Source organism: Homo sapiens, chromosome Y, assembly GCF_000001405.40.
Source record: "Homo sapiens chromosome Y, GRCh38.p14 Primary Assembly".
In the NCBI taxonomy this organism is placed as follows: Eukaryota; Metazoa; Chordata; class Mammalia; order Primates; family Hominidae; genus Homo; species Homo sapiens.
In genome coordinates, this window is record NC_000024.10 from 22,316,628 (window position 1) to 22,332,236 (window position 15,609).

The 15,609-nt window shown below is 40.8% G+C and overlaps 2 pseudogenes across 1 annotated transcript; both read left to right on the forward strand.

Moving 5' to 3' along the window:
• Window positions 1–50: 50 nt before the first annotated feature.
• On the forward strand, window positions 51–3,757 carry LOC100652931 (RNA binding motif protein Y-linked family 1 member A1 pseudogene; annotated as a pseudogene). Its single transcript, NR_104151.1, has 3 exons — window positions 51–120; window positions 2,156–2,270; window positions 3,736–3,757. The product of NR_104151.1 is annotated as an RNA binding motif protein Y-linked family 1 member A1 pseudogene (transcript).
• Window positions 14,905–15,375, forward strand: TTTY25P (testis expressed transcript, Y-linked 25, pseudogene; annotated as a pseudogene).

A 15,609-nucleotide genomic window follows, 5' to 3' on the forward strand; every position in this document is an offset into this window, starting at 1 on the left:
GTTCTTCTAGGCAACCCATTCTAGTTAAAAGAGGTCCCTCTTCAAAAAGTGGAGGTCCTCCTCCTAAAAAGTCTGCTCCTTCTGCTGTGGTAAGAAGCAATAATTGGATGAGAGGCCAAGGTAAATGCTATCTGATAGAAAGACTGTAGTTTTTGTATGACTAAAAATGAGCTATTTTACCTGGATGCTTAACTTTAAGTTCACTGAACAAAGGAGAAGTGACACATACATGGGCATAATTACTGATCGATAGCTTTTATTATAGTTTCTATCTCACTGGGTACATTTCAGATTTGTTGTGAAGAAATACTTGAGCTTCTCATTGCAGATCAAAGAAGTGATTAGAGTGAGGACAACATTCCTTTTAATCCTGTGTTTGCTAGAAAATTCCCCTTAATTTTCTAAAAGTTCCTAGCAATATTCTTTGATGGTAGGCTTCTTCATCTAATGAATTCTTCCATTTCCTAGGTAGTGTTCCCCTGGTGTCCCAATCTAAAAATTGCTTGTTCAGTTTCTTTGTTGGTTTGGAGTCTTGCTCTTACCAGGTCAGAGTGCACTGGTGAGATGATGGCTTACAACGGTCTCAAATTTCTGGGCCCAAGCAATTCTCCTGCTTCAGCCACCTGAGTTTCTGCAACTACAGGCATACACCACCACAGCTAGCTAAATTTTTTTCCTTATATTTTTGTAGAGAGAGGATGTTGCTGCATTGTCAAACCTGTCACTACATTGTCAAAGCCCGTGGCTCAAGCAGTCCAGCTGCCTCAGCCTTCCACACTGGCTCACAGTGTGAGCAACTGAGCCTGGCCATCCAGCTTCTGAGACCTCAGTAATGCTTATATGCAAGACATCGTTACTGCTTATACAAAGATTCAAAAGAACTGCAAGAACATTTAGCAGAAAAGGAGTCACTGGGCTTAAATATTATTTAAAAATAAATTTAAGGCTTGAAAGGTAGACATGAAGGAGTCCAATATTCTTAACTGAAGTGGATTTTACAGAAGTGCAGAGTTGTGAAATACAAGGGGATGTAAATCAATAATTAAGATTGTTCCAGGATGCTTAAACATTAACACAAGATCCTTAGTGTGAGGTTGGAAATTATTTGAGGAGCGAATTTAGATCTAAGCACATGAGGTGAGCAGTAGGATTGAATAGAAGAAATATTTTTGAGAAGGAGAATTGTAAGATTGCAGACTGAACAGAAGAAAGCAAGACAATAAATAAAAGTTTTTAGCAAAGAAGTTAAGCAGAACAAATTAAAATTCTTACTTAGTCCTCCATCCTAATATGGAGGAAATTAAAACCTGACATTTTCAATTTTACATTTCATATGTAGAGTATCAGTGAAGTCAGGTATTTATTGACTTCAGGATAGAGTATAGGTGAAGTCAGGTATTTAGTGACTTCAGGATACAGAAGCCAACACATTTCCATTGAAAAATAAGCCAGTGAACATATCACAGGTGAAAGACTGACCTCTAAGGAAAAGCACTGTGAAGAGTATATTAAAGGAGAAACTTTTCTATTTTGAAATAGCAACAGTGTTGTAATGACCCCTTTAATAGTGTTGCTTATTGCACTAAAAGTAATTCTTGGCCATCATTAGAAAGTTTTCACTAGCACATTTTAATTTGTCAACATTTAAGATAGAGCCAACTACTTAGAGTTAAAGGAGAACTGTTATGTAAAAATTTGGCATGCAGTCATTCAAAGGTAGCAGTATTTGTTTGTGTGAGGTGGATTGAACTACATGGGAAAATTTACCTTCTTCAGCTGAGAAAGGACAACATATGTAAACTTTATATTCAGTGAAGAGTTTGATGGTTTTACATGTTTTCCCTGTGTCATTGGTAATCATCAGTAATTCATATGAAAAGGAAAATATAACTAAGCAGTGATTAACCATTACAAATGAACTTTTACCTAAGAATGAGCATTTGGCTTCAGCTTCATTAGAAGAACTGGCCTTGTGGGAGCCATGGGATTATCCAAAACCATAAGAAATATTCACAGTGTCATGACTGGCTAGTAATTTATGGAACAAAGAACGGAGTCATAGAAGAAACAATTTTAAAAGTTGTTTGAGATAAGAGAAAACAGTGTTTCAGATTTGATGTTCTTTACATAAAGTTCCATCATTTTAATATTAAAGGTCCCATATCATGTGGAAGAGAGAATTATGGAGGTCCTACACGTAGACGGCCAATCTCTTCCTGGAGAAATGACCACATGTCTCTAAGAGACGATGGTTATGCAACTAAGGAGAGGTAAAGGAAAAATTTTTAAAAAGTTGATTTTTTTTTGTTGTGGTGATGAAATTTACATAACAAAATGAAATATTATAAGGTAAACAGTTAAGTGGCATTTAATACATGCTGTGTCATGCAACAACTACCTCCATCGAGTTCCAAAACATTTTCCTCACTCCAAACTAAAACTCCAATTACCAGTTAAGCAGTCCCTTCCATTTTCTCCCTTTCCTCAGCTGCTAGCAAACACTAATCAGTGTTCTGCGTCTGAACTTACTGTTGTGGGCATTTAATGTTAATGGGCTCAAACACTACATGACTTTTTGTATCAGTCTCCTTTGCTTTTGCATGATGACCTGAAGGCTGATTTACATCATAGCACTTCACTCCTTCTACAAGCTATTAACCCATTATTTTATTTGGGTTGTTTCCACCCCAGTATTTCTATGCAATGATGTTTGTTTGAATACACTTATTCAATTCTGTGTGTATATGAGTGGAATTTTTTGGTACTATGATAATTATGTATTTTCTTGAGGAACCACCACACTTCTCCATGGTAGCTCCATCCTTTTGCATTCCAACTAGCATTGTATCAGCATTCCAATTTATCTGCATCCTCTCAAACACTTGTTATTTCCTGCTTTTTAAAATTTATTGCCATTCCAGTGTGTGTGTGAAGTATGGTATCTCATTTTGGATTTGAAATGCATTTTCTGAATCACTGATTGTGAGTATCTGTTCCATGTGCTTTTTGGGCATTTGCCTATTTTATTTGGAGAAATATCTATTTAGATGTTTGGCCTTTTAATTTTGTTTAAGTTGTAACTTAGTTATGCTTTGGATACTAGAATTGAAAATTTAAATTTTTTTAATTTAATTTAATTTTTTATTATACTTTGAAGTTTTAGGGTCCATGTGCACAACGTGTAGGCTTGTTACATATGTATACATGTGCCATGTTGGTGTGCTGCACCCATTAGGTCTTCATTTAACATTAGGTGTATCTCCTGATGCTATCCTTCCCCCCTTCCCCCACCCCACAACAGGCCCCAGTGTGTGATGTTCCCCTTCCTGTGTCCATGTGTTCTCATTGTTCAGTTACCACCTATGAGTGAGAACATGCAGTGTTTGGTTTTTTGTCCTTGCCATAGTTTGCTGAGAATGATGGTTTCTAGCTTCATCCATGTCCCTATAAAGGACATGAACTCGTCATTTTGCATGGCTGCATAGTATTTCATGGTGTATATGTGCCACATTTTCTTGATCTAGTCTATCATTGTTGGACATTTGGGTTAGTTCCAAGTCTTTGCTATTGTGAATAGGCCCTCAATAAACATACGTGTGCATGTGTCTTTATAGCAGCGTGATTTACAAACCTTTGGGTATATACCCAGTAATAGGATGGCTGGGTCAAATGGTATTTCTAGTTCTAGATCCCTGAGGAATCGCCGCACTGACTTCCTTAAACTTATGAACACAGAAATCATCCAAGCTCCTGAGAAACTAGGACACCACCTAGAGACTATGCATACCATGATTATGGTCATTCTAGCTGGGATGAACATTCTTCTAGAGGATATAGGTACTACAACTTTTTCTGGATTTGTCAAAAAGATTTCTTAAATTATTCATTCTAACTAATGTTGTATCAGGGTTCCAGTTTATCTACATACTCTCAAACACTTGCTCTTTCCTGCTTTTTAAAATTTATTGCCATTCCAGTGTGTTTATGAAGTCTGGAATCTCATTTTGGATTTGAAATGCATTTTCTGAACCACTGATTATGAGTATCTGTTCCATGCGCTTTTTGGGCGTTTCCCTATTTTATTTGGAGAAATATCTGTTTAGATGTTAGGCAATTTAATTATGTTTAAGTTGTAATTTAGTTATATTTTGGATATTAGAAGTTGAAAATTTAAAATTTGTTGCTTAAACTTACACACACAGAAATCATCCACGCTCCTGAGAAACCAGGGATTATGCTCCACCACCTAGAGACTATGCATACTGTGATTATGGTCGTTCTAGTCGGGATGAACATTCCTCTGTAGGATATAGGTACTATAATGTTATCTGGATTCATCAAACGGGTTTCTTAAATTGTTTATTCTGACATTTAAAAACTTTTTTCAATTTACTGATCCTGTTGGCTATGGTGAGACCAGTGGTAGAGATCATTCTGAACATACAAGTGGAAGTTCTTACAGAGATGCATTTCAGGGATATGGTAAGAGTCTAGGATGGATTTTTAAATTACAGAATTTTATGTAATAGACCAGATCATTATTTTAATGAAATTCTAAGGAAAATTATAAAGGACAATATAGCATGTTTAAATATTGAGTATTCTTAACAGTATAAAGCATAGGGAACGATATGAAGGAGAGAACTTCAGTTCACGTGCAGAAAATATGACTCAATGTTTACTTTAGGATTAAATTTGTTAAGCTTCAAAATACTACTCTCACACTACTTTTAAATAAAACCTTCTGACCAATGCAGGCTTAATTAATATCTATCCTGTCAACAAGGGCAGAGGAAAGCAGATATTTCCAAATAGTAATTTAACTAATTCATCCTTTAGTGATGGCAGTAAAAAATGTTTAATTGTAGTCCAACATATTATTTTATCAGCCTGCAGGGACCTCTCATGGTGCACCACCTGCACGAGGGCCTCGGATGTCTTATGGTGGAAGCAGCCGCCCTGATTATAACAATACACTAGATAGATATGGCAGAAGTCAGGAGAGTTACTCAAGAAGCTGCGGTGATTTTTATTTTTGTGGTCATGAGCACGTTGGCAGAAAAGACCAAAGGAATCCACTTTCTCTGGATAGGGTGCACCCTGCTCGTCGTGAAGCATATGGTAGCTCAAGTTATGTGGCATCTACAATAGATGGTCGGGAAAGTAGATCTGAAAAAGGAGACTGAAGCAGATATTAAAGCAAGTATTCCAAATAGTAGCTATTGCATACCAAAGCTTGTTTGCAAATTGAAAATTGACGTGTTATTTCTACATTGTTACCTGCATATTACTGAAAGAAACATGTTAGTATTGGGGAGAGATGTAGATACTAACTTCCTCCATCAATCTGTTGAGGTATTCCAAGGAAAACAATTTTTTTCGGAGTAATTTCATACTTGTTAATGCTATTTGAAAACTATCTGTTTAGATGTAATATCTACATTAAAAATTTCAGAAAAAATTTTACATGTAATGCAAAATAGCTGATGTTATTGGTTAGCTGCACATGCTTAAAAGCAAATACAATAGAAGAGTAAATTGTGTTTTTGTTGAACATTTTCCTTTGTTTCTCTGAACATAAATATATACAAAATTAGGCATATGTTACATCTCCCTGCAAGCTGCACAAGTTTTCTAATTAGGCCTTTTCTCTTTAAAAACTTACAAGCTTGAAATGTTTGAGACTCCTTCAGAAGGACTACAAAACTGTCTGCCTCATCATAAAACATTTATTTTTTAGAGGAATAGTACAGGTGAACGGAAATAATTAGATGTGGTTGATACTAAAGTTTAAAACATCTGGAACATTCTACCTGAAGCATTCTGTGACTGAAGGGGTATAATGGTAATGAAACCTTTTTTTTTTACCTAAATCAAAACTGAACCAGCTAAGTTTCTCAAGTGAATAACATAATGAAATTAAATGTTCCTAGTTTAAATAGTGGAAAGTAGGTGTTTTATCTTGGGAGGTACTCATGTTAGTTTTTTCTTGAAAGTTTTGACAATGGTTATTGTAAGTAATGATTTAGTAATAAGTTCTTACAAATAGAGATAATCTAGAATGGTTGGGATTTTATCAAAATTTTTTTTTGAGATGGAGTGTAGCTTTGTCGCCCAAGTTGGACTGCAGTGGCTCCATCTTGCCTTACTTCAACCTCTGCCTTCTGGGTCCAAGCTATTCTTTTGCCTCAGCATCCTGAGTAACTGTTATTAGAGATGTGTGCACCACAGCTCGCTAATTTTTTGTATTGTTAGTACAGACAGGGTTTCACCATGTTTGCCAGGCCGTTCTTAAAAATCCTGATCCACCCTCCTTGGACCCCCAAAGTGCTAAGATTACAGGCATTAGCCCCTGCACTCAGCCTATCAAATTTAATTGATGATATGAATGGAAATGATTTACCTCATACTTTTGGGAAAATGAAGTGTATAAAACATAAACAACAGCATAAAGTTTCAGATGGATTGCTTAAAGGTTTGAGCAATCATCGAATGATAAAAATAAAAAGATTTGGACCTAAATAACTAAGTCGATTTATTTTCCTGATTATGCAACCTAGAAAAATGAAATACATGAAGTTCCAGAAGTTTTGCCGTCCATAATTCTTACAATTAACAGACTAATCTGCAAGGAAGGAGTATTTTCCTGAGAAAATTTTGACAAGATCATCACTTTTTATAGGGTAAGGGTGCAAATAATTTTAAAGGGAGAAGTTACCAACTTCGATTTTCAAGTGAGTTATTCATGTTGTGAAGTTGTGTTTTTATTCAGCTGTAGGATTGTGAGGATGAAGTGAAAAGATAAAACTCCCTAGTTTTGCATATCTTACTGTCCAGTTGTGATGGCTCAGGTCTTTAATTCCAACATTTGGGGAGGCCAAGGCTTGCAGATCACTTTAGGTCAGGAGTTCAAGACCAGGCTGGCCAACATCATGAAATCCCATCTCTAGCAAAAATATAAAAATTAGCCATGTGTGGTGGCACATGCCTGTACTGTTACAGTTAATTGGGAGGCTCAGGCAGTAGAATCATTTGAACCTGGGCGGCTGAGCCTGCAGTGAGCCGATATTATGCCATGCATTCTAACCTGGGCGACATTCCTCCTTCACTCTATTAATTCTTTTGAGATATACAATAAATCATAATTAAATGTACTCATTCTGTGCTACCGAACACTAGATCTTATTCCTTCTAAGCAACTATAATTTAACCCACCCTCATCAGCTCTTTGATCCCGTCCTTACCAGTACACATTGCTTGTATCAAAATATGGCAGGTATGCCAAAAGTATCTATGACTGTTATGTACAAATTTTTTAAAATAAGTAAAAAAATAATAAAAAGGATATCTCCAACAAGTTGATAAAATAGAAGGCTCTAATTTGTTCCTCCATCCACAAATGCAACAAATAAAAGCCACACCCACATCAATTCCCTATGAGATAAACTCAGAAACTAGTTGAGATACTCTTGCACATAGGATTGTGAAAATGCTCACTTAAAAAGAGGTAAGAAAAACTGAATCATGATCTTGTTCTAGAGTTTGTGTCTGACACAGTGCCCTAGAGTCAATAGGGAACTGTTATTTCACAGCTTCTCTCAGAGGACTGAAGTATTAAACCACATATGTAATGCCCCAACTGTTACAGCTGCTTCTCAAGGAAATTATTACCTATCTCTGGATTCTAGCACAGATTGGTATTCATAACTCTCCTAGGACCTCCAAGATAAAGAGGGATTTAAATAGACATTCAAGCACTTCTAAAACTGTTTCCTCCTGGTTTACTGAATCTCAAGTAGTCAAGAAAACTCAGCTCCCACTTTGTACCTTGAAGATCTTAGATTGTACATCTAACGTCTTGACATTTTTTTTGTTTGTTTTTCTTTTGAGACAGAGTCTTGCTCTGTTGCACAGGCTGGAGTGCAATGGCATGATCTCGGCTCACTGCAAACTCTGCCTCCTGGGCTCAAGTGATTCCCCTGTCTCAGCCTCCCAAGTAGCTGGGATTACAGGCACCTGCCACCATGCTATGCTAACTTTTGTGTTTCTTAGTAGAGACAAGTTTTCACCATGTTGGTCAGGCTGGTCTCAAACTCCTGACTTCAGCTGATCCACCTGCCTTGGCCTCCCAAAGTGATAGGATTACAGGCGTGAGCCTGCACCCAGCCATATCTTGACTTTAATAGCTTCTGCCAGTTCTCCTGACTTGGATCTGTCAGGATCCTCTGAGAGCAGGCACATAGGCATTTCTCATCAGTCTTCATCATCCCTCACTCTAACAATATATAGAGCTTCCAAATTTTCCTTCCAAGAAGTCAGATTACCCAACTATGGCCCTGACTTCTCAGGTTGCTGCCTAAGAGTCTGAATACTAACTTGCCAATCTCGGGAAGCTAATGAATCCCAGCTTTTTGTAGTTCCAGGATTCTAAAGAGGAAAAAGGATTGTTTTACTGTAACTCGGCATGATTTTTAAACTTGCCTATTGATATAGTTTGGACATTTGTCCCTCCAAGCCTCAGGTTGAAATGTGGTCCTCCACATTGTTAATGGCATCTAGTGGGAGGTGTTTGTTTGTGTCATGGGGATGGATCCGTCATAAATGGCTTGGTGCCCTCACCATGGTTATTAAGTGAGTTTTCCACTGTATTAGTTCCCACGGTGGAGATTACATCCAAAGAAGTTGTTGAAAAGAGCCTGATACCTTCTCCTCTTCTCTCTCTTGCTCTCTCCACACCTGACATGTCTGTTTTCCTTTTACCTTCTGTCCTGAGTGGAAACCTGGCGAGGCTTTCGCCAGATGCAGATGCTGGCACCACACATCTTTTACAGCCTGCAGAACCAAGATCCAATGAAAGCTCTTTTCTTTATAAATTTTCCAGTCTCATAGTCTTTTATAGGAACACAAACAGATTAAGATATGTATCTCTGGCTGATAACTTGCCTATATCAGTAAGCAGTGGAGCTCAGAATTTGCTATTTCCTGCATTCCATAGAGGACAAAGAGGTAGTTTTCAGTGGTCCTGTGAGCTCTTCCTTAAATCCAACCCTTGGTTTGCTCTAGCTTTCAGCTTTTCCATGGAAACACCCCAACATTTTAAACTCCTCCTCCCTTAGGACCACTATTTTTTCTTTGAGATCTGATCTCACTTTGTCACCCAGGTTGGAGTGCAGTGGCATGATCCCAGCTCACTTTGACCTCTACCTCCTGGGTTCAAGAGATACTCCTGCCTCAACATTCCATGTAGCTGGTACTACAGGCACGTGCCACCAGACCTGGCTAATTTTTTATTTTTTGGTATGTTTAGTAAAGAGGGGATTTCACCCTGTTAGCCAGTGTGGTCTTGACCTCCTGACCTCATGATATGCCCACCTTGGCCTCTGAAAGTGCTGGGGTTACTTGCATGAGCCACTGTGCTCAGCCTGAACCAGTCTTTCAACTTGCCTGTTTCTAGGGTCTGATGTGACAGAATAGGCATTCTGTGATTCTCCTAACTCCCTCCCTCTCTGCAAAACCAAAACCTCAACTCACAGCTATCCTTAGATAAGGACACCTTAGTGAATGATTCTATAACTTGGGATTGAATCTGTGACACCTTCTTCAGTTGTAGAACTGAGAATAGCCACACACATAGAATAAAAGAACAGTTTTTTTTTTTTTTTTTTTTTTTTTGAGGCGGAGTCTCCCTCTGTTGCCCAGGCTGGAGTGCCATGGTGTGATCTCGGCTCACTGCAAGCTCCGCCTCCCGGGTTCACGCCATTCTCCTGCCTTAGTCTCCTGAGTAGCTGGGACTACAGGTGCCTGCCACCACACCCAGCTAATTTTTTGTATTTTTAGTAGAGACGGGGTTTCACTGTGTTAGCCAGGATAGTCTTGATCTCCTGACCTCGTGATCTGCCTGCCTTGGCCTCCCCAAATGCTGGGATTACAGGCATGAGCCACTGTGCCCGGCCAAAAGAACAGTTTTAATCTGATACTTTTCTCCTCCCCAAGCCAGCACAGTGTTGCATACAAAAAATTTCCCCAGACTCACTGTTTCTTCAGGGTGGAGAGAGTTGAAGGTGTACATTCAGCCTTTTCTTTTCCATTTTGCAATTCTTTACATGATGTTCTCTCTAGTCTTACCCTGTGGGAAACACTAGGGGTATTAGACAACTGGGGTCAGTTAGAAACAAAGTACATGCATGGGGCTCACATTGACCATGACAGTAATCTTACTGGTGGCTTTGCTTTCCAGCCAGCAGAGGTGCACCACCAGAAAAACTAGGCAACAGCATCATTCTGCAGCAACCAACCATGGTTGAGGAGTCTGCCAGGCTCAAATCACTGGCCGACTGCCATATCCAACCCTGATTTTCTCTGCAAAACTTCCAAGGCTGTGACAAAGCAGCAGCTTGATGACTATCCACAGAAGGGGCATGTGTCCCCACCCAATCTCAGCTGCCATACTTTTGACCGTCCTAACCCTGTGTGCTCCACCCATCCCCAGGCTGAAAAGCAGAGGCAATTTAGTAGTGAAGGATGAAGTTTCTGGCCCTACGTGGACCCAGTGTGCAAGTAGTTTATATAATAAGCCTTAGTACCCCTGGAAGGAAGATCACTTCTGATATATCTAATGGAAATCTCTGGGCATTAGAATCTCTAGAGCACATGACTTTATTCAGAAACAGAGAATCGCAGTCTCAGCTCCAGCCCCTCCCACTGTGACAGCAGATGTCAAGGGAGCTGATAGTCAGTCCGAGGACCTCTTGCTGCAGGCAGAAAGCTAGCCCATCCATGCAGAGACCTTCCAGTAACCATCACAGCCAAAATTACAGGCTTGCCATTCTCCATTCCACAGCAGAACCTAAGTGGACCCAGTCTCAGCTCCAACCTGTCCAATTTCAATTTCCAAAATGGAATCATTAGTAATAAGTAACCAACCAGCCAAAAAAATAAATAAATAAAACCCAGGAACTGATTGATTCAGGATGAATTCTAACAGATCTACGAAAAGCTGCATCATATTCCATTGTGTGGGTGATCCTAGTTTGTTCAACAGGTTTTGTATGTATGCTTACACACACACAAACACACACACACAAACGCACACACCTATGTTGCATGTTCTCTCAAAAAGCTGCAGTGGAAATGCCAAGCTGGCCTTTGGTATCATCTGAAGACTCAGTGGGGAAGGACCCACTCCTTTGCTTGCATTACATTGTTGCCAGCAGCCTTGTCCACAATGGTAGTTTTTCAGTGGTTTCTTACAGTTCTGGAGAGCCTGCAATTATGTTTATTTATATGGTTTATAATATATTCATTAGCATTTATCTCTAAACTTGAGCCTGGGTACAATGGCTTAAGTCTGTAATTTCAATACTTTGGGAGGCTGAGATTGGAGTATCCTCTGAGGCCAAAAGTCTGAGACTGCAGTGATGTATGATTCAGCCTGATGACAGAGCAAGACCCTGCCTCTAAGTAAATAAATAATACAAATACAACGGATGGTAATATTTTTGTTTTACAGTTTGGAAACACAAATTTCCTTCATCAAATATTTGAATATTTGATAGCCGCTAACACAGCACTTTTGCTTGTGCATGGGAATCAATGCAGGAAAGCAGTGGGATTGGATGCTCTTTCCCCTTAATGCCTGAACATGTAAATACTGTGATGATAAAGGGTGAGTTTGGACCAAGAAGGCTTTCTGCCAGAGCTATCAACACTGTGGAAATAAAACTGTCCACAAGTTGGGAAACAAAACACTCTTTACTGATAATAGTAACTGTAAAGCCTTTTGCAGATTTGATTTCTTTTTTAATCTAGTGTAGATTAGGCAGCATAACACAGACTACCCTGCCCCTAGTAGTATGTGATTTGATGACAAATATTAATTAGAATTTGGTTGTTGAAAACTACAAGAATCATAGTTAACACCCATAGTTACATGAGTAATTTTGATGCCGGCTTATTTTAATCTTCAGTTAGTCAACTAGAGACCTAGATATTATTTCAAACATAGTTCAAAAATTCATGTGTATAATGGGCAAAATGGCATCTTTTTATTTTTATTCATTTCCTGTTGGTTTTATGCCTTTAATTGTCTCCTTTCTCCCTTCTTCCCTTCCTCCCTCCCTCCATCCGTCCTTCCTTCCTTCTTTCCTTCCTACCTTCCTTCCTTCCTACCTTCCTTCCTTCCTTCCTATCTTTTTCTCTATTTGAGTTTTTTTAAGATGGAATTCTGCTCTGTCACCTAGGCTGAAGTGCAGTGGCATGATCTAAGCTCACTACAACCTCCCCATCCTGGTTTCAAGCAATTGTCCAGTCACACCCTCCTGAGCAGCTGCGACTGCAGGTATATGACACTAATCCGAACTATTTTTGTTTGTTTGTTTTTTTAGTAGAGACGAGGTTTCACAATATTTGCTCAGGCTGGTCTCGAACTCCTGTCCTCAAGTGATCCACCCACCTCAGACTCTCAAAATGCTGGGATCCCAGGCGTGAGCCACAATGCCCACTCAGTTTTATGCATTTCTTTCTTCAGTGATCTCTCCTGTTTTATTATTTTATTATTTTTTTTTTATTTTTGAGACAGAGTCTCACTCTGGTGCCCAGGCTGGAGCACAGTGGTGTTATCTCAGTACCGTGCAAACTCCTTCCCCAGGGTTCAATGGATTCTCCTGCATCAGCCTCCTGAGTAGCTGGGATAACATCCATGGGCCACCAAGCCTGGCTAACTTTGATATGATACTAGACATGGGATCTTGCCATCTTGGCCAGGCTTGTCTCAAACTCCTGACATCGAGAGATCTGCCCACCTTGGCCTGCCAAACTGCTGGGAGTGCAGGTGTGAGCCTCCATGCCCTGCCTCATATCTGTTTTAAAGCTCAGCAGATAAGCAATATCGTCTTTGTGGAATGCTTTATGTTTACAAAACAACTGTAGCACTATTATTTAGCCCCTTCAGATAAAGTATGGTAACACACAAAACATACACGCACAGACACAGACATGGTCAGTGATCAAAAAATCAGTGTAGGCCAGGACCTAAAACAAAAGATGAATTGCTGCAATTGACTAGAATTAAACCAGACCAGAATTGACCCATACCCAGCCAAGAGATGTGAATAGAGGCTTTCAAAAAACTCTGTCAGATACGTTATATTATTCTCCAGCCATAGCAAAGGGACATTAAATATCTATTGTGTTTTGAAGAGTCTTGATGGTTTGACTTTTCCAGGGTATTAGCATTCATGACATTGGCCTTTAAAGCTCTCCACAATTACTCAAATCAGTAGACAACTCAGTTTTTCTAGGAGTCTAAAGTACTTTTCAAAATTACCTAAAACTTAATGGCTTAAAACAATAATTATAATTTACTAACTTCAGTCTCTGCAGTCTTTCACAGTCTGTAAGCCAAATGATTGTGGTTCAGGGGTACTCAGGAGGATGCAGTCTAGTGATGGCTCAGGATGGGGACATTGTCAGATGTCTTCTCATCACCATGGTGCCATGGCTAGCATGACTCAGATAGTGGGGGCTGGACTGCTGAGATCCTCAGACATCTTCTATTTCTACGAGTCTCTCCATGGGATGTTCCTTCTGCATAGTGTTATCAGGGTGTTAGACTTCGTGATGTACTGGTCCAGGGCTCCTGAGGGGTTTGTCCCCGTGACAGCAGGACACTTAGGCAGAGCTGTCTCACCTTATCTAACCTAGCTAGGCCAGAGGTGGTCCAGTATCCAGAAAATGCTTACACTGTTTTTTATTCATTAGCAGCAAGTACTGTGTTCAGTACCACCAGGAATATTTTCAAATGGGTTTGCGGAGAATTTGAATGTTTGAGACCACTACAGTGGTCATGCCTAATAATTACGTATTTTTGTAAGTGCTGGATGTGTTTTACCCACCGTAATAGCAGGTACAGACTTTCAAGCTTGAAACCTGTATGTCATAGCTCTGAACATTTGGTTATATGTTGAAATACCTCTAAGCATAAATTGATTTTTAAATGAGAGATATAAATAAATACAATAAATGAGAAAAACTCATAAATACCTGGATGAGATGCTTATAAAGAGGTCAGCCTTAAAAATGTCATGAGGTCTAATGTGCCACTCTTCTACCATTTCTGTGGATATTACTTGGACAGGAGGACAAGGACTCAGGGGTCTGCTTGTCAGTCTCTGCACCTTGAAACAGTGGCTGGGGCACCAGGAGTAACACTTCCAGCCAACACTAAGTGGTGAGGACAAGGAGTCCATCTGGCTTAAGGAGGGTGTGAACATAATGTGACCTGGAGGAGAAGTACACCTGGTAGGGCGACCAGGATCAAGGTCTCTGGCACACATTGAAATCCCCCATGCCCAGGTGTGGTGGAGTGAATCCCTCAGCTGGTGCTGGGCTTCCAGGTGTGTTCAGGAAGCAGCTCCCTGGGCTGGGAAGGATCCCCTCATTCCCTTGCCATGCGGGAGGGTGAGGCTTGTGGCTTCTGCTCTGTCTGTTCCAGCTCTTTCCCTTTCCATTATCCCACTGCTGGGTACGGTGGCAGGACCCTGGAATGTAGAAGGACCCTGGGTTGTTGATAGTGCCTGTGTGTGGCCATGTACTAGGAGGAGAGTCATCAATGAGCTTCCCGTGAGCTTGGAGGCTGGAAAGAACACCCGTGGGGCACTGGCTGGTCCAGTGTCCAGGGACCATTCCTGGAGAATGCCAGGGGGGAGTCGTAAGCCTGTGGATCTGCAATCTAGGTGGAAGAGCTGTATCTGCCATGGCTGACATCATCAGGGCAAGACACCCACTGGGTGGAGAGCTGGGCTTATGCATTTTAACCCTGTGCTGAAGAGATCATGCATGCCTGCCTCTCCTGGGACTAGTGATACTGGAGACCCCCTCTGTGTCCACTCATGACCATAAGCTTAGGATGCTGTGTGCCTTGCTTCCTGTCCACCCACATGAGGCACCCTGGAGAGGATGCACAGGGCAAAGCTTTTGTGTCCACACATGCAGTACTGGAACTGGGTGTCACTGGCCTATTAGGCCGCTGCTCACCAGGCATTCTCCTGAGCTCCCACCTGGCTAAGTGATAAGTGTCCCATCTACCTGACCCCGCGGCCTGGGTTTCTCCTCCACCTACCGACCCGTGCCCTCTTGGGGAGAATGCCAACTTCCCTGGAGACTCAGGCCTTGCTGGGCCCACATGCTGTCCTCCTGTCTCATGGGCTGGAAACTCTCTGGTGCACAGGGATTCCCAGACAGTGCATCCCAAAGCCCCTCCGGTTCCATTGCTTCTTCCCTGAATGTACCGACTGAACACACAGGAAGACAAAGACAGCTGCTAGGTTTCATTTCCCTCCAGATGTCATTTGAGGTCCATGACATCTTCTCTAGGTAGCTCGCGCCAACCACCCTTTTCCTCCTACCTCTGCCATGTGTGAGAGCAATGAGGACTCTTCACGTCTCCCTAGGGCTCAGGCTTCATGGGTCCTGAAGTTGGATTGCCAAACCCGGCTGACCCCTGCTTGGCAGCTCAAGAGCTGAGTTTGAGTCATACCTGTGGGTGGGAATGTGGGTCCCCTCCCCAAACCAAGGTACACAAAGGTACACAGGCACAGGTGTGCACACACA